General features: G+C 49.5%; 2 pseudogenes, besides 4 other annotated features; one reads left to right on the top strand and one right to left on the bottom strand.

The window, feature by feature from the left end:
• Nucleotides 430-985: an enhancer, noted in NCBI's record as "OCT4-NANOG-H3K27ac hESC enhancer chr2:85686049-85686604 (GRCh37/hg19 assembly coordinates)". NCBI's record gives its function as "activates a minimal SCP1, AML or CMV promoter by ChIP-STARR-seq in primed H9 embryonic stem cells {active_cell/tissue: H9 hESC(primed)}" and the evidence as "EXISTENCE:reporter gene assay evidence [ECO:0000049][PMID:30033119]".
• Nucleotides 3,878-4,867: an enhancer, noted in NCBI's record as "NANOG-H3K27ac-H3K4me1 hESC enhancer chr2:85682167-85683156 (GRCh37/hg19 assembly coordinates)". NCBI's record gives its function as "activates a minimal SCP1, AML or CMV promoter by ChIP-STARR-seq in naive and primed H9 embryonic stem cells {active_cell/tissue: H9 hESC(naive and primed)}" and the evidence as "EXISTENCE:reporter gene assay evidence [ECO:0000049][PMID:30033119]".
• Nucleotides 12,469-13,119: an enhancer, noted in NCBI's record as "H3K27ac-H3K4me1 hESC enhancer chr2:85673915-85674565 (GRCh37/hg19 assembly coordinates)". NCBI's record gives its function as "activates a minimal SCP1, AML or CMV promoter by ChIP-STARR-seq in naive H9 embryonic stem cells {active_cell/tissue: H9 hESC(naive)}" and the evidence as "EXISTENCE:reporter gene assay evidence [ECO:0000049][PMID:30033119]".
• Nucleotides 13,120-13,769: an enhancer, noted in NCBI's record as "H3K27ac-H3K4me1 hESC enhancer chr2:85673265-85673914 (GRCh37/hg19 assembly coordinates)". NCBI's record gives its function as "activates a minimal SCP1, AML or CMV promoter by ChIP-STARR-seq in naive H9 embryonic stem cells {active_cell/tissue: H9 hESC(naive)}" and the evidence as "EXISTENCE:reporter gene assay evidence [ECO:0000049][PMID:30033119]".
• RN7SL251P (RNA, 7SL, cytoplasmic 251, pseudogene) lies at nucleotides 17,120-17,416 on the bottom strand (annotated as a pseudogene).
• On the top strand, nucleotides 17,936-17,993 carry RNU7-64P (RNA, U7 small nuclear 64 pseudogene; annotated as a pseudogene).

The following is an 18,391-nucleotide window of genomic DNA, read 5'->3' as shown; positions in this document are numbered from 1 at the left end:
GATGGAATAAATGTGACTGCCAGAGTTCTGGTTACTGAGTGGGGGACAAGAGATATCAGTATCTTCATTTAGTGTGAAGGGTGATCCTACTTACAACCCCTGTCTCCAATAAAATATCCGAGCCCTCACCTGTAACTGATGACTCCTAGTACAGAAAACCTCAGTTTTATCCTTTCCTAGTAGAAGCCGCTAGTGTCTTTTGCTGGGTTGGAGGAGGGACAGTCACTCACTGGAGGGCAATGGGGAGGGATTGGGGTTTAACTGCTTCTTCTTCTTCTTCGTTTTTTTTTGTTTTTTGTTTTTGACAGAGTCTCACTCTGTCGCCCAGGCTGGAGTGCAGTGGCACGATCTTGGCTCACTGCAACATTTGCCTCCTGGGTTCAAGCAATTCTCCTGCCTCAGCCTCCTGAGTAGCTGGGATTACAGGTGCACGCCACCACGTCCAGCTAATTCTTGTACTTTTAGTAGTGACTGGGTTTCACCATGTTGGCCAGGCTGGTCTCGAACTTCTGACCTCAGGTGACTCACCCGCCTTGGCCTCCCAAAGTGGTGGGATTACAGGCATGAGCCACCGCACCCGGCCCTGTTTCTAAAACAGACGTTTAATGAGTCTTCATTTTTAGGCTCATCTTTAACCTTCCTTCAGGAGGTACCTGGAGCCTTTTAGGGAATTCTATGGGTTAACACTTGGTTACCACTTGTTTTTTCCTGCAGCTGACAGTATTCAACATTCTCAGATCTTCTCAGTAATCACTGATTTCTAGCTTCCAAAGTCATGTTGCTATGTCTCCTCACAGGTTCCCTTTGTTCTTATTCATTTATGTCTATTTACAAATTCCTCCACCAGCATGTTAGTGGATTCCAGAGGGGGAAATATTCATTGATTTCTGCCACCTTTTTGTTGTTGTTATGTTAATTTTTACGTAGAGAAATACATTTGACTCTCAAACGGGGCAACAAAACCCCTGGAGAGTGACACATTGACCCCCTTTAAGTGACACGTTGGTCCAGTTTGAGTCAGGTGTTCCCTTCTACCAGTTAATTTTGGCAAGAGGAGTACAGCACCATGACTGGTGTGGGAATAGGTCCCTGTCCCAAGAGGGACCATCAGTGTGGCAGGGACAGTGGAGACATGTTCCACACACACAGTGGCTTGCACAGTCACAGAGATGGAGAAGGACAATCCCTAGAAAAGGGAGCCTACCCAGCTCCTGGGTGGGAGTTGATGTCCACAGGAAACCTGATGCTCACTGCACCTGGATGGGACGAGGAAGCCGACAGGGCCTCTCTGTCTGTGACTGTAGGTATGATATAATCCTATTTAGAAATAACATCACGAGTCTAAATTTGAGACCTGTTGTGAAAGTGAGACCCAGACCCCACTGCCCTTCTGCCTGCAGCCCTATACCCCTCCATGCTAGGGCCAGGATGGGAGCCATTTGGGGCCTGGGAAGAAACATGCCCTGCTTGAGAACCTGGTCAAAATGACTCTCTCTTGGAATTTATTTTGGCTACATGAATAAACAGAGACGTTTCCAAATGTCTAATCCTCAGTCTTCTGCTCTTTTCTCTCTACGCAGATTCAGCGATTACATCTCTATGGGTATCTGTAAACCCCTGCCGACCTCTCCCTCACCTTCAGTCCCACACTTCCACCCGCCTGAGGAACTCTTCCACTGTGTTGTCTCATGCACGTTGGCCCCAAGCTTCAATGCTCCAAATTGACCTCATCATTCTTGCACCTCCCAGGCTTGAAACCTAGGAATTATTTTCAACTCCTACCTCTCCCTTGGCACAGGTACCCAATTAGTCACCATTTTAATCATCCGCTGCTGGTAATCACTGTGACATTTATCCTATTGTATCTGGCAGTGAGATGGCTGTGGCTGTCAAGCTGACACACAAATCAAGCAGAATAAAACCCCACCCAGAAAAGGCTGGCATCAGCATGGAACTCTGTTACAAACATCAAAAGCAGTCTGTGGGCCGGGTGCATTGACTCATGCCTGTAATCCTAGCACTTTGGGAAGCCGAGGCAGGAGAATCACTTGAGCCAAGGAGCTCAAGACCAGCCTGAGCAACAGATTGAGACCCCATTTCTTTTATTTATTTATTTTAAAAAAATTTTTTAAATTTGTTTTTGAGACAGAGTATCTCTCACTGTTGCCCAGGCGGGAGTGCAGTGGTGTGATCTCGGCTCACTGCAACCTCCGCCTCCCAGGTTCAAGCGATTCTCCTGCCTCAATCTCCAGAGTAGCTGGCATTACAGGCATGTGCCACCACGCTGGACTAATTTTTTGTATTTAGTAGAGACAGGGTTTCACCATCATGGTCAGGCTGGTCTCGAACTCCAGGTGTGAGCCACCATGCCTGGCTGAGACCCCATTTCTATTACACAAATAATTAGCCAGGTGTGGTGGCTTGCACCTGTAGTCCCAGACATTCGGGAGGCTGAGGTGGGAATTTGAGGCTGCAGTGAGCCATGATCATACTACCACGCTCCAGCCTGGGCAACTGAACAAGGCCCTGTCTCAAAAAAAAAAAAAAAAAAAAAAAAGTGGTGTTATGGGGCTGACGGGAGGGGATGGGGAGATGTGATCAAGGCCAAGCTAGAGTGAGAGCAGATCCAGTAAGTGGAGTGAGCAGAGGAATGAAGTCATGAGCCGAGAGCCCACCCAGCGGCTGAGTTCAACCTTGAAGGCTCTGGGGGAGGAGCACCTAACATTTGTTTGGCATCTGCTAAGCAATCAAGGCCTTTTGCATATTTTATCATCTTCATCCTGGCAGCAAGACGTGGGATAGATGGTGAATCTGACATTTGCCTGGCACCTTTGGTTTTTGTTTTCTTTTCACAAACTCTAACTCATTTGATTCCATGGTAACCCAGTGAAGTGGTCAGAGCCCTCTTTGGTGAATGAGAAAACTGGATCCAAAAGTCCTCCATATCCTCGTTACTCAAAGTGTGGTCATCAGTATCACCTGGGAGCTTGTTAGAAACACAGATCGCCCGCTTATCCCAGGCTCACCCACTGGAATGTGCATTTAAACAAGAAGCCCAGGGATTCGTGGGCACATTAAAGCTGATCTATGTGACTGCTGGAGGAGTCTGGACCAGCCTTACACAGCTAAGTCTGCCCCTGGTCAGCAACGTTTGGCACAAATGCCAAGGTTACCTGCAACTCTGAGACAAGCTTGGCCATCAGCGGGGAGTGAGGCTGACAGAGCTGGGGACTGGGCGGTGAGAGGAGAGTGGAAAAGGGAAGTCAAGTCAAGGGTTGTTTGTGGGGATTATGCTGTGTGCTCCAGCACCCGTCAGGTGCTCCAGGACTGATGATGCAGCTGAGGACTGGGAAGCAGGAGACCATCAAGGAAGATGGCAGCCCAGCCCATGGAGGCAAGCAAAATGGAGTGGCTGAAGAGTTAGTGCTGGAGGAGGCACAGTCCCCTGGGAGTGGAGGGTCTTCCTGAGTGAGAGAGAAGGCAGGAGGAGGTGAGTAGGCCTGGGATGTGGAGGGCCCTGCACACCTGGCTGGGGAGTGCAGGCTTGATCTGGGGTCAGTGGAAAGTCTACGCTGGAGAGCTGTCCTGTGCCTCTTCCTCCACCCTGTTTCCCTCACCGGCGTCTCCTCATGGAAACATCTGTCTTGATAATCTTGACAGTCTCCTCTGGGACATCATAGCTCATAGACCTGCTCCCAGCCAATTCTCAACAACCAGAATTGAGCCCAGCCTGTCCTTTCCCTCTTCCTGAGCCTCCAAAGAGCCACCACTTTTCACCCAGTCACTGGCCACTCACCTTGGGAGTGATCTCAGACTCCTCCTGGTCCTGTAACCTCCACACTGCATTGTTCTTTGAGTTATCTCTGCTAAAAACCCTTCATCATCCCTAAGCAGCCTCCCCACCTGCAGTGTCTCCAGCCCACTCTCAGGCTTCCTTTGTTGGGTCCAAATTCCTCAGCCTGAGCTATTGTTCATAGCTCTCTACACCTTCCTCCTACCTTATCTTACCTGTGACTGCTCCCAGGGTCCCATTTCCCCCTCCTCCCCACCCTGCCTCCACTCCTGCCCTTTGATCTCCTTGTCCCTTCCTGCTTGTCTGTCCCCTGCTGGTGAGAGGTGAAGCCAGCTGGACTTCCTGGGTTGAGTGGGGGCTTGGAGAACTCTTCTGTCTTATAAGAGGATTGTAAAATGCACCAGTCAGCACTCTGTAGCTAGGTTTGTAAAACGCACCAATCAGCACTCTGTGGCTAGCTAGAGGTTTGTAAAATGCACTAATCAGTGCTCTGTAAAAACACACCAGTCAGCACTCTGTGGCTAGCTAGAGGTTTGTAAAATGGACCAATCAGCAGGACATGGGCAGGGACAAGTAAGGGAATAAAAGCTGGTCACCCCCAGCCTGGAGCGGCAACCCGCTCAGGTCCCCTTCCACGCTGTGGAAGCTTTGTTCTTTTGCTCTTCACAATAAATCTTGCTGCTGCTCATTCTTTGGGTCCGTGCCACCTTTAAGAGCTGTAACACTCACAGTGAAGGTCCACGGCTTCATTATTGAAATCAGCGAGACCACGAACCCATCAGAAGGAACCAACTCCAGACACACTGGGAGAGACCAACCCTCTTTGTTTCCTCTGGCCAAAGCCTGCCTGTCTTTCTATGCCCATATACATGCCTTTACTTCCTTCCTGTTGGGATTAGAAGATTAGAACCCAGGATTTGTGACTAGTGGCCAGGTTATAATTTTTTTTTTTTTTTTGAAACTGAGTCTTGCTCTGTCATCCAGGCGGGAGTGCAGTGGCATGAACATGGCTCACTGCAGCCTCGACTTCCTGGGGTCAAGTGATCCTCCTGCTTCAGCATTCCATGTAGCTGGGACCACAGGCATCCACTACCATGCCTGGCTAATTTTTTTTTTTTTTTTTTTTTGAGACGGAATCTCGCTCTGTTGCCCAGGGTGGAGTGCAGTCGCACGATCTTGGTTCACTGCAATCTCTGCCTCCTGGGTTCGAGCAATTCTCCTGCCTTAGCCTCCCGAGTAGCTGGGACTGCAGGCGTGCGCCACCACTCCCGGCTAATTTTTGTATTTTTATTAGAGACGGGGTTTCGCCGTATTGGCCAGGGTGGTCTTGAACTCCTGACTTCATGATCCGCCCACCTCAGCCTCCTAAAGTGCTGGGATTACAGGCATGAGCCACCACGCCTGGCCTCCTTCCTGCTTTCTAAACATTCTTTCTTGTTTTCTAGGCTGAACATGTATTATGTTATAATTATAGGATGAACATAAACCTTTCCGAAGAATGAATTGCCGCTAAGGAGAGGCTGAAGGGCAGGGTGCGGGACAGGAAGGTGACTGTTGAGAACATCTGGGAGGGGAGCCATTGACTAGTGTTGGCCTTGGGTGGACGGGGACGGGGAGGTGGAAAGCTCTGTGGCTTCATGCCATGTTTAATTCAGACCTGGGCTTGAACCCCAGCTTTGCCTTTGCTCCTTAATCTGTGACCTTGGGAAAATTAGTTAACACTGAGTTTCAACATTTACTAAATTATGTGGCCTTAGGAAACTAATCTAGCCTCTTTAAGCCTCATCCATTCAACAGTTTTAGTATCTAGGAAATGTTAAATCAAGTTTAATCTAAAGCTGCCTCCTTACATTTTTTCTTATTTATTTATTTATTTATTTATTTATTTATTTATTTATTTATTTGAGACAGAGTCTCATTCTGTTGCCCAGGCTGGAGTGCAATGGCGTGATCTTGGTTCACTGTAACCTCTGCCTCCCGGGTTCAAGTAATTCTCCTGCCTCAGCCTCCCAAGTAGCTGGGATTACAGGTGCACACCACCACACCCGGCTAAATTTTGTATTTTCAGTAGAGATGCGGTTTCACCATGTTGGCCAGGCTGGTCTTTAACTCCTGACCTCAGGTGATCCACTTGCCTCGGCCTCCCAAAGTGCTGAGATTACAAGCATGAGCCACCGCGCCTGGCCTCCTTATATATTTTAAGTTTGGCCTAAAGGTTTCTCTGTACATCATGAACTACAGCCTAAATGGAAGCGTAAACAGACTGTAATCTACTCTTGGGCCAATCACCGAGTTTTGGCCATTCAAATGTGGCCAACTGTTCAAACTGTGTTCAAATAAGGCAAACGCAAAACTGCAACCAATCCAGCTGTTTCTGTAACTCGCTTCCGTTTGCTGTATGTCTCTTTCCTTTTTCTGTCCATAAATCTTCTTCCACCATGTGGCTACACTGCAGTCTGTGGGCCTACTCTGGCTCAGGAGGCTGCCTGATTTGGGAATCATTCTTTGCTCAGCTTTTACATTTAATTCAGCTGAAGCTTTTCTTTTAACAGGAACTATGTACCAGACACTGTTCTACCTGCTAGGCTCTAGCAGGAAATAATTCAGGCAAATTCTTCATCTTCATGGAGTTTTTATAGTTTAGAGAGGAGAGGGACATAATAAATAGCCAAGAAGAAGTATAGTGACTCGTGCCTGTAATCCCAGCACTTTGGGAGGCTAAGGCAGAAGAATCACTCGAGCCCAGGCATTTAAAACCAGTCTGGGCAATATAGTGAGACCCCCCCCAATCTCAACAAAAAATTAAAAATTTAGCCAGGCATGGTGGCACACACCTGTAGTTCCATTTACTCAGGATGCTGAGGATGGAGGATGGTTTGAGCCTGGGAGATTTAGGCTGCAGTGAGCCATGATCCCACCACTGCACTCCAGCCTGAGCAACAGAGCATAAGACCCTGTCTCAGGGAAAAAAAAAAAAAAAAAAAAAAGGCCAGGTGCAGTGGCTCACACCTGTAATCTTAGAACTTTGGGAGGCCAAGGTGAGCGGATCACTTGAGGTCAGGACTTCAAGACCAGATTGGTCAATATGGCAAAACCCCATCTCTACTAAAAATACAAAAGTTAGCCAGGCATTGTGGCAGATGCCTGTAATCCCAGGTACTCAGGAGGCTGAGGCAGGAGAATTGCTTGAACCCGGGAGGTGGAAGTTGCAGTGAGCCGAGGTCGCAGCACTGCACTCCAGCCTGAGGGACGGAGTGAGACTTCTTTGCCCCTATCCAGCGGGAAGTAGCTAGAGTGATCATCGCCCAATTCAGGAAATTCGGAAATTTGTGATATTTTATTTTTATATATGTGCACTCATGTGCACACACACACACACATACACACATATATGATATGAAAAAAATGCAGAGGAGGAATCTAGAATGTGGAGTGTGGGAAGATTTCCTCGTCTTAAAGTAGTGTGGGGAGGCCTCACTGAGGGGTGACATCTGAGCAGAGACCAGAAGGAAATAGAACAGCCAGCTTTGTGAGTGTTTTGGGGGAGAGAATTCCAGGCTGAGAAGACAGCAATACACTCAAGGCAAGAGTGGGCTTGCAGTGTCTGAGGCCAGTGTGGCAGGGGTCAAGGGAAAAGTCAGTGGCAGGAAATGGAGCCAGGGAGGTGGCAGTGGGCCAGATCACACAAGGCCTGGTAGGCTGTGGTCAAGACTTCAGTGGCTAGGATTAGTGGCAGCAGGGCCAGTGGTGGGTATATTTTGAAGGTAGAGCCAACAGGGTTTGCTGATTTTTTTTTTTTCTTTTTTGAGACAGGGTCTTGCTCTATCACTCAGGTTAGAGTGCAGTGGTTGCAATCTTAGCTCACTACAGCCTCGACCTCCTGGGCTCAGGTGATCCTCCCACCTCAGCCCCCCTAGTAGCTGGGTGTACATGCAAGCACCACCATGCCCGGCTAATTTTTGTATTTTTTGTAGAGACGGGGTTTTGCCATGTTGGCCAAGCTGGCCTTGAACTCCTGTACTCAAGTGATCCTCCCGCCTCGGCCTTCCAAAGTGCTGGGATTACAGGCAGGAGCCACCACGTCTAGCCTTGCTGGTTATTAATGTCGATCGTGAGTAAATGAAACAGGTCAAGGAAGAGTCCTTTGTCTGGTTTTGGTCTGAGCATGGAGAAGGTGAAGGTATCGTTTACTGAGTTTGGTAAGGCTGCAGAAGGAGCAGGTCTAGGGTAAAAATAAAAGTTTAATTTTGGATATTGTGCCAGCTGTGTCTATTAGACACCCAGGTCAAGGTGTTGATTAGGCAGTTGGATATTCAAACCCAGAGTTCAGGGGACAGGTCAGGGCTGGAGATACAAATTTGGGAGAGGTCAGCATAGAGAGATTGATCTTAAAGCCATGAGCCTGGATGAGGTCACCTGGAGTGTGAACAAGGACAGAGAAGAGAAGGACTGACTCCTGCGGCCGTGCAGTATTTTGACACCAGGAAAATGAAGAGAAACCAGAAATATACATGGGGGAGGAGGGGCCAGTGACATAAAAGAAGGTCCAAGAAAGGGTGGTGTCTCAGAGGCCAAGTAAGGATGTGTTTAATAAACATGATCCCAGCCAGGCATGGTGGAGCACACCTGTAATCCCAGCTACTTGGGAGGCTTAGGCTGGAGGGTCACTCGAGCCCAGGAGCTCAAGGCCAGCCCGGGCTACATAGTAAGATCCTGTCTCTAAAAAAATAAAATGTGAACCCTTGTGTTTCTGTTTCTAGTGTTGTTGATAGACTGAATTCATGCTATAGGTGGGTGATTCTGCAAGCACTTTGTTAGCAGTTACTCTGGAGGCCTGGTGTCATTATGGATATATTAAAGAAAGGCTGCCCTTTTTTTTTTTTTTTTTGAGAGACAGGATCTCACTCTGTTGCCCAGGCTGGAGTGCAGTGGCATGATCACGACTCACTGCAGCCTCCACTTTCCAGGTTCAAGTGATCCTTCTGCCTCAGCCTCCTGGGTAGCTGGGATTACAGGCTCACACCAGCACAGCTGATTAATTTTTTTTTTATTTACTTTTATCTTTTTTTTTTTTTTAATGAAATGGGGTCTTGCTATGTTTCCCAGGCCTGTCTTGAACTCCTGAGGTCAAGCAATCTGCCTTCCTTGGCCTTCCAAAGCACTGGCATTACAGGTGTCAGCCACCACTTCCGGCCATTAATATTTAAAAATTTTTTTTGTTGAGATGGGGTATCTATGTTGCTCAGGCTGGTCTCAAACTCTTGGGCTCAAGCGATCCTCCTGCCTCAGTGTCCCAAAGTGCTGGGATTACAGGCATGAGCCACTGTACCTGACAGAGGCTGCCATTTTTAGTGGCCAATCCATCCAGTGTAATCCAGCAGTCTTCTTCTTCCCCCTCACACAGCCACCTGCAGTGAAAATCGGGAGGGAACAGGCAATGAGGGTGCCGTGGGGAGCAGCACTTGGCAGGAGACCATGGATGGAATTCCAGGTAGGCAGGTGGGGCCTGACAGCCACAGTAGAGCTTTGGTCTCTGGGGAGCCTGGTGAGTGTCAGGTGAGACCCTGGCCCTTCAGTACAGTGACACTTTGGGCAGAATGAGGAAGCAGGAAGGGGTCCCAGGTGTTAGAACAGATGAGTTCTTTGGTGAGTACACAAATTTTCAGGTGGTAGAAACACCAAATGGAGCCTCCAGATCCCTTCTTTGTGACCCATGGCCTGTCACACCATAGATTAGCCATCCCCTCACCCTTCTCCATCCTTGGGAATCCCCTCTCTGATTCCAGCCCCATGACTTGACCTGTTCTTCTCCCTCCAGCAGCACGGGCTTCTGATCCTCTCAAGTCAGAGCCCCTCTGGTTCATGGGTCCCTTCCCGGAGTCTCTCACCCCAGTGGTGTCCTCAGATCCACCCTAGAACTGAGCCTGGTTTCACAAAACAGCCGTGGCAGCTACTTTCTGTCCTCTGAAATAAATAAAAGTCTCCTCTTGTCCCTGTTGCATTACTAATCAGCCACAGCTCATACCCTCTGAAGCCTTCTTATTATCCTGCTTCCTGAGAACCTGATTCTTCTAGGCACTCTGTGATGTTTAGAGAGATACCTGCTTTATTTTATTTATTTTTATTTTTATTTTTATCGTGACGGAGTCTGGCTCTGTTGCTCAGGCTGGAGTGCAGTGGTGTGATCTCAGCTCACTGCAACCTCTGCCTCCCAGGTTCAAGCAATTCTCCTGCTTCAGCCTCCCAAGTAGCTGGGATTACAGGCATGTACCACCATGCCTGGCTAATTTTTTTTATTTTTTTTTTGTATTTTTATTAGAGATGGGGTTTCACCATGTTGGCCAGGCTGGTCTCGAACTCCTGACCTCAGGTAATCTACCTTCCTTGGCCGCCCAAAGTGCTGGGATCACAGGCGTGAGCCACTGTGCCCAGCCAAGCCCTGCTTTACTAAAGTTAGCTTTTACGTCAAAGACAGAATGTGAAGATATAATAGATGAGGGCTCATCTCAGAAAATCCCCACGGATCATAGAGGTGGGGTGAGAAGGAACTGGAAGGAGGAGGGGATCGCAGGAGGAGTCACCCTTTCAGCTAGAGAACTGTGCATTTTCCATGTCACGCAGGGACAGTCTCTTTTTGTCATCCTGTTGTAATGTGCAACACTCTGTTCAGTTCATGGCCAAGGAACAGAATGTCTCACCACAGGAGGCCTCACCCCCAGGGAGCCAACCCACGGCCTTGGTCTTCTGAGCAGGGGCATTAACAGAGCCAACTGCACGAAAAAGAACTCATGAGGCACAGGGCCCGTGGGCCAGTGGGTCTGGTGGCCAGGGATGTGTGTGTGTGTCCTGGGAGAAACCGCAGGGCCTCGGGGTGCCCTTGGAAGAACAGCAGACCCCTTCCCTCTCTCACTGCATTCAGCCAGCATCCTCAGCCACTGCTGAGGGGCTGTTCTAGGGCCCAGCTCGAAATCCAGCTCATAAGAGACGACCCAAGAAGAAGAGTCCTTGACCCTCTTCTTGAGATCTCCATAGACAAGTTGTGGTGAGATATTTAAGAACTCAAGGTCATTTACAAAGCAAAGAGAAGATAATAGGGAAGTGGGGCAATGATATGAAAAACTGAGGGTGCCCCAGTTAGCTGTGACCTTGAGTCTTCTTAATTCTTGGATCCTCAACTTTCCTAAGAAACAAGGAGGAAAATACCATCTGTTCTTCGCTTCTGCCTTGGGCGTCCAGTGGGGTAACAGGTGGAGGGCTGTGAGGGGAGAGAGAACTGGAGCGGGGGCCTGTGATGGGAAGAGCCTGTCTCTGGTCATTGCCTTTTGGTTCTCAAGGAATGTTCAAAGCAGAGGAGTTTGTCCTTCCTCATCCCAAGCATAAGAGTTAAGCGAGTTGTGACCTTGCCGTGTGAGCTCAGATAATAAAAAAATTCAGTGGTTAATGAAGCCTTATCTTTGGAAAGACATACAAAAGACTGGTAGCACTGCTTGCCCCTGGAGGGTGGAGAACGGGGCAGCTGAGCCATAGGTGCATGGGGGGAGAATTGTTTTTCTCTGTATTATACTCTTTTGCACTTTTTAAATGTAATACAATGTGATTGTAATATCTAGTAACAAATAAAGAGAATTCAAACTTAAAAGTGATTCAAGTGAGCCAGGCGCGGTGGCTCATTCCTGTAATCCCAGCACTTTGGGTGGCTGAGGTGGGCCAATGACCTGAGGTCAGGAGTTCAAGACCAGGCTAGCCAACATGGTGAAACCCTGTCTCTACTAAAAATACAAAAATTAGCTGGGCATGGTGGCGGGCACCTGCAATCTCGGCTACTCGGGAGGCTGAGGCACAAGAATCACTTGAACTCGGGAGGCGGAGGCTGCAATGAGCTAAGATCATGCCACTGCGCTCCAGCCTGGGCAGAAAGTGAAACTCCGTCTCAAAAAAAAAAAAAAAAAGAAAAAAGTGATTCAAGTAATTCAAGGTTCTAGGAATTGGTTCAGGGTTGGGGCAGAGTCAGGAGTTAAACTTTATTCTTTTTTTTTTTTTTGAGATGGAGTTTCGCTCATGTTGCCCAGGCTGGAGTGCAATGGTGCGATCTCAGCTCACCACAACCTCCACCTTCTGGGTTCAAGCGATTCTCCTTCCTCACCCTCCCAAGTAGCTGGGATTACAGGCAAGTGCCACCACTCCTGGCTAATTATGTATGTTTAGTAGAGACAGGGTTTCACCATGTTGGTCAGGCTGGTCTCCAACCCCCAACCTCAGGTGATCCACCTGCCTCGGCCTCCCAAAGTGCTGGGATTACAGGCGTGAGCCACCACGCCCAGCTAAACTTTATTCTTTAGATCTCCTCTCAGTGAAAGGACAGGAGAGTAGAAGGAGGACTTGGAGTGCTCAGCAGGCTGGGCCTCCTCATCGCTCTTTCCAGCGAGCCCTTGCCTACACTGCAGGCCTCCCTGCCAGGCCTAAGTCTGGGAGAGGTGGGTGCAGTTGGCACAGCCTGTGCCTGCCCTCCAGCGCAGGACACCATGTTCTTGCCTGCCCATGAGTCCAGCTGCCTGAGCTCACCAGCAGCAGTAGTTGCATATGCTGCAAGAGCCGCTGGGAGGGTTGGCCGGGAGTCATGAAGGTGGGTGCGTGGTCCCCCAGAGACGGTCAGACTGGGTTGAGGACAAAGGGCAGGCCCCAGATACAATGGGCAGACTGGAAAGGCCTTGTTCAATCCTGGCATCAGCGAGGAGTCCAGTGATGGCCACGGCCACTGGTCCTTGGCCAGAACTGGAGGAGCCGGTCCTGTAGCCAGCCTCAATCCCCAGGCAACAGACCCAATCCTACCGATGCCAGCCTGAGCTCAGCAGGACAGTTGAGTATTGTCTAAGCAAACAGCTATGGTAAAGGGAGGCACAGCTCCAGTGCTCCAGGTACCCTCCCTGCTCCTCAGCCTGTCTCCAGTCCCTCCCAGACAGCTGTGGCTCTGGCATGCAACTACCCTAAATCCACAAGTCCTGGTCTCCCAGCCTCCTACATCTACCACTGCCCATGGGAAACACTGTTCTCTGCTCCCTGTCCCAGCTGGTGTCCTGTGACAGTCGAGCATGTGGCAGGAAGCCTGCCTCCTGCTCAGTGCGTGTGTATGGGGCAGGACTAAAGTAGCAGGAGGATATGGGAAGACCCTGTGGTGTGACTCCTGGTGCTGCCACTTCAGCTCCCTGGGCCTCAGTTTCTCCACCTAGGGCCTCCCTACGTTGCAGCATCGTCACTAGGATCCCTCAAAACACTAATCGCAAGAGCACTTTGTAAGATGAGGCATGCATTTGATATGCGTCGAGTTATTATTTGTCACATTCTCATTACAGAGCTCTTAGTAAGTAGATGCTGAATGAATCCTGGTCCTGAGCTGATGACACCTGAGGGCTGTTGAAGAGTGACAGGCCCCAGCCTTCCTACATTGGGCCTGCATGTCCAGTAAAAGGGGAGAGCCAGAGGAGGAAAGTCCATCTTCTCACGGGATAAGAAGGTCTGGAGACTTCCCAGGGGCTGTCTGACCTCTCCCGGAAGAGGAAGTGGGCTGGTGTGGACAGACCCTGAGGGGCAGAGCCCGCAGGGAGCCCTGCCCCTCTATTCCACTGCAGAGGTCCCTGGAGGCGGGGCTGTGGTCCCCGCACTGCTCTTAGGCTGCCCATGCAGAGGTGCGGGGTTGACTCAGAGATGCTCAGAAATGACCTGGAAATGGAGGGTCTGAGGAGCTCCAGGCTGCCCCGTTCCTCCTTGCCACCCTCTCCCTGATAGCAACAGGCAAGGCCAGGAGGCTTCTGGGAACCTGCTGCCTAATTCCCACCCCATCCCCCAAGCAAGGCCTGCTTCCAGATCCTTAGGTGGCCCTCCTACGCTTTCAGAAGGAATAGAGCTGGACCCTAGGAGGCTGAGGCAGAGGGGGCATGAACAGATGCATTTTCAAGGGCATACCAGGTGCAAGAGGCTCTGGGTGCTGGGGACAGGCTGAGCTCACCCACCCCTGGCCTTGCATCAGCTGCAGGGCTGGCTGCCAGGCCCTGGGAATTAGGCAGCAGGCTCCCAGGAGCCTCCCAGCCTTGTCTGTTGTTATCAGGAAGAGGGTGGCAAGGAGGAGCAGGCCAGCCTGGAGCTCCTCAGCCCCTCCATTTCCAGGTCACCCAGCTGTCCCAGCTCCCAGCTTCCCAGGCAGTGAACATTCTGTGCAATCAAGGGCAGGCACAGCCTAGGGCCTGGGAGATCACCCAGCCTGCCCAAGGCCTCTTTGCTGGAAGCCTTCCTAAGTTTGTGGACATCTCCCAGGCTGATCTGGGAACTGTGGGGCTGGTTTCTCTCTGGCCATGACATCACTGCTTTAAAAACAATCTTCCAGCTGGGTGCAGTGCCTCATGCCTGTAATCCCAACACTTTGGGAGGCCAAGGCAAGAGGATTGCTTGAGGCCAAGAAGTTCGAGACCCACCTGAACAACATAGTGAGATTCTGTCTCTACAAAATATTTAAAAAACAACCAGACATGGTGGTGTGCCCTATAGTCTCAGCTACTCAAGAAGCTGAGGCAGGAGGATTGCTTGAGCCAGGAGTTCAAGGCTGTAGTGAGTCATGATTGCAGTACTGCACTCTGGTCTGGGCAAGAGAAACCTCGTCTCTAAAAAATTAAATATAAAAATGAGCCCCCAGCAACAGCTGCAGGTGCCGCAGATGCAAGCTGACAGTGTATGAGAGAGGCTTCCAAAGTGGCCATGGATTATTGCCATTGCATCTCAGGGCTGAAGGTGACAGGAGGTTCGCAGGTGAGACACCTGGCTCAGTTGTTCTCCCTGGGACCCAGCCCCAGTGTTTGGAATTGCCTGGTACCTTCTTTATCTCCGGATCCTCTTGGGGTGCAAAAGTGGATGTACCCTGGGAAGAAAAGTGTGTTCTGAGCATGAGGGCTGCTATCTGGGATGTCCTGAGAGCAGAGCTGAGGTCTACAGGCAAAGGAAGGGAGACCGGAGAAGGGACTGGAGCAGAAAGCAGGCGGGGGAGCAGGAACACGGGCTCATGGGAGCCTGGGGCCCTTGTCCTGGTCAGTCCTAACTTAGTGCTCTGGCCTCGGTTTCCCAATCTCTCTTCCTTGATTCCTTCCCACAGGCAGGACTTTCCCTTAGCTGAGGAGCTGCTAGAGGAAAAATGGAGTTACCCTCTCCCCTCCATTCACAGACTGCTCTCCCCTCCGTGGGCCTTAATTTCCTCATCTATAATGTGAGGAGACAGGACAAGGCAGTCTCAGAGCCCAGCAGCTCAGATGTCCTAGGAATCTATGCTATTATGACTCAGCCAGAACCTCCCTCTCTTTCAATGCTCTTTCCCCACCCAGCCCCTACCCTGGTGCCTGTTGTGCTTTTGCTCCTCATCTCCCACCTTCTGTCCCTCCAACTTCCCGGCTGCATGGAAGCTGGGCAAATCCACATTAGAATGTCTGAAACCCATGTTTGACTTTTATCCACTGTATCTCCTGGGAATCCAGAGTGCATGGTGGAGGGGCACTTCTCCCCAGAGGACACTTAGGAGGGCACACCTGGTGGAGCTAAGTAGAAGGGCTGGTGGGGGGCATCGGGGAGAGGGTGCTGGGGTGAGTAGGGTGGGAGTTGGGAGGCAGCCCAGGCTGTGAGAGAGGCATAGTCCCAGGCAGTAGGAATACTGGAGTTGGAAAGGCCCTTAGGGATCCTTGAGGCCAACCACCCTGCCCGTCTCACCCCATTTTAAAGATGAGTAAACTGAGGCCCAGCAAAATCAAGTGACTTGAAAGAATATATATACACACATATATATGCGTATATATGTGTGTGTGTGTGTGTGTGTGTATATATATATATATATATTTTTGAGATGGAGTTTCACTCTTGTTGCCCAGGCTGGAGTGCAGTGGCATGATCTCAGCTCACTGCAACCTCTGCCTCCCAGGTTCAAGCGATTCTCATGCCTCAGCCTCCCAAGTAGCTAGGATTACAGGTGCCCACCACCATGCCCAGCTAATTTTTTGTATTTTTAGTAGAGATGGGGTTTCATCATGTTGGCCAGGCTGGTCTCAAACTCCTGACCTCAGGTGACCCACCCACCTCGGCCTTCCAAAGTGTTGAGAATACCAACCACCACCACCTCGCCCAGCCAAGAAAATATAGTTTAACATCAAGAAAGGAGGAAGAACTTGACTTCCATTTAAAAGATGGCCCTTAAATGGAATAGTTTTGCACAGAAAAAGCTCATGCTGGTTGCAGTGAGCTGAGATCGCACCACTGCACTCCAGCCTAGGTGACACAGTAAGACTCTGTTTCCAAAAAAAAAAAAAAAAAAAAAAAGCTCATGCCACAGGTTGTGTTTTTCTCTCTCTCTTTTTTTTTTTTTTGTCACCAGTGATGACATGGTGATCATCATCATGGTTCATGGGTGTTCTGAGGACCAGATTTGGAAACTACTGTCCTGACGTCCTTCTGCTGCTGCCACCTCTCTTTCTCTTCAACCAGCTTTGCAAAGTAAAGAAAGGGAACACTCAGGAGAATTTAGATCAAAAGTACTTTTATTTATTTACAGAGACAGGGTCTCACTATGTTGCCCAGGCAGATCCTGAACTCCTGAGCTTGAGTGATCTGCCCACCTCAGCCTCTCAAAGTGCTGGGATTACAGGCACGAGCCACTGTGCCCAGCCCAAAAACACTTTGAAAACAACTTCAGTATCCCCCAAAATGTTCACTGCAGACATGAGGGCAACAGGAGCACAGTTGCTCAGAGAGGTGTGCAGGCAGAGGCCCAGCTGGGGTCCCTGGGCCAGGGCTAGGACTTACTCCATGCTGGGCAGAACCACGGAATGTAGGTAGGCAGGTAAGTACGAGGTAGGTGGGTGGGTAGCTCGCTGGCTCCTCTTGCATCGTTAGCACTTAAGAGTTCTGGGAGTATTGATTCTGGGAAGACAGTGAGTGTGCTGGGCCCTATCCTGGTAGAGAAAGGCTATTTCTCTACCTGGCTGAGTCTTCCCCTGACTCAAGGGTTCCTAGAGACTGGTAGTGAAGCTGGGGAGGGAGAATCTTTCAGCAGATGTAGAGGAAAAATGAGATGCTGGTTTGGTGCCTGGCACATAGTAAGCACTCAATTATTATTTGTGAGTGAACAATGGAATGTATGGTATAGTTTATGGTAAATTCAGAGATGACCAGACAAGTCTAAGTTCTATTAATCGTTCTACCATTAACTGCTCTGTGCTTCAGACGAATCTCCTGACCTCCCTGGACTTCAAGGACATGTGTGCCTGTACTGGCAGGAGTCTTCCTCTTCTTCTCTTTTTAAAAGATGGGGTCTTACTATGTTGCCCAGGCTGTAGCGCCAATGGCTATTCACAGGTATGATCCCACTATTGATCAGCACAAGAGTTTTAACCTGCTCTGTTTCCTACCTGGGCAGGTTCACCCCTGCTTAGGCAATCTGGTGATCACCCACTCTTGGGAGGTCACCATATTGATGCCACTAAGTTCAGACTCCAGAACAGCATAGCACACTACAGCCCAGAACTCCCAGGCTCAAGCAATCCTCTTGTCTCAGCCTCCCAAGTAATTAGGACTACAGGCACACATCACTACCTCTGCTAATATTTTTCTTTTTATTTTTTTGTAGAGACAGGGGTCTCACTATGTTGCCCAAGATGGTCTCAAACTCCTGAGCTCAAGCAATCCTTCCTCCTTGGCCTCCCAAAGCACTAGGATTACAGGTGTGAGCCACTGCACCCGGCCTGGAGTCTTCTTTACAAAGATCAGAAGCCATATTCCCACTAGCTTAAACCAAAAAGGAAATTTCTAGCTCACATAACTGGAAGGGGCACTAAGGCAAATGCTGCGGCTTTGGGGCAGGACCCAAAGTCTCCAAGACTCTTTTTCTTTGTCTTTGCTTCACTTCTGCTCTATCCACATCGCAGGGAAGGTGGCCATTTGCAGCTCAGATTTGGAAAGAGGGCTGGCTTCTCTCTCTCAACATCAAGAGGTTTTCATGGGCCCTGTTTGGTCCCAGTCAGACCTAGGTCACATGCCTGATCTATAGTGGGGGAAGTGGATTGTGCTACCAGAAGGGGAACAGGAAAGCCCGGTGAGCAGACAAAACAATAATTATTAATGTTACAGCTCTTTTAGTATTCGTCTAGCAGCCTTTCCAGTTTTTACCAGAAAGCCCCCTGAAAAAAATTTTTTTTAAAAAACAACAACAATAATTATTACAGTACCTATAGTGCCTAAAGACGTCATAAGTATGTGTGTATATTGGGAAAGACTGAGTCCTTAAAAATGCAGCAAAAAAGTGACCTGAACCAAGCTTTGCCAAATCACAGTTATTAATATTATTAGGTACCAATCAGATGGCTCTTATTGCATGTCAAGCTCTGTATTAGGCTAAGTATACAGGTTTTTGTTTTGTTTTGTTTTTGTTTTTTGAGACAGAGTCTCACTCTGTCACCCAGGCTGGAGTGCAGTGGCGTGATCTTGGCTCACTGCAGCCTCTGCCTTCCGGGTTCAAGTGATTCTCCTGCCTCAGCCTCCCGAGTAGCTGGGACTACAGGTGCACGCCACAACGCC

Source organism: Homo sapiens, chromosome 2, assembly GCF_000001405.40.
Source record: "Homo sapiens chromosome 2, GRCh38.p14 Primary Assembly".
In the NCBI taxonomy this organism is placed as follows: Eukaryota; Metazoa; Chordata; class Mammalia; order Primates; family Hominidae; genus Homo; species Homo sapiens.
The sequence above is the reverse complement of the archived record's forward strand: the minus strand, read 5'-3'. Positions and strand labels throughout refer to the sequence as shown.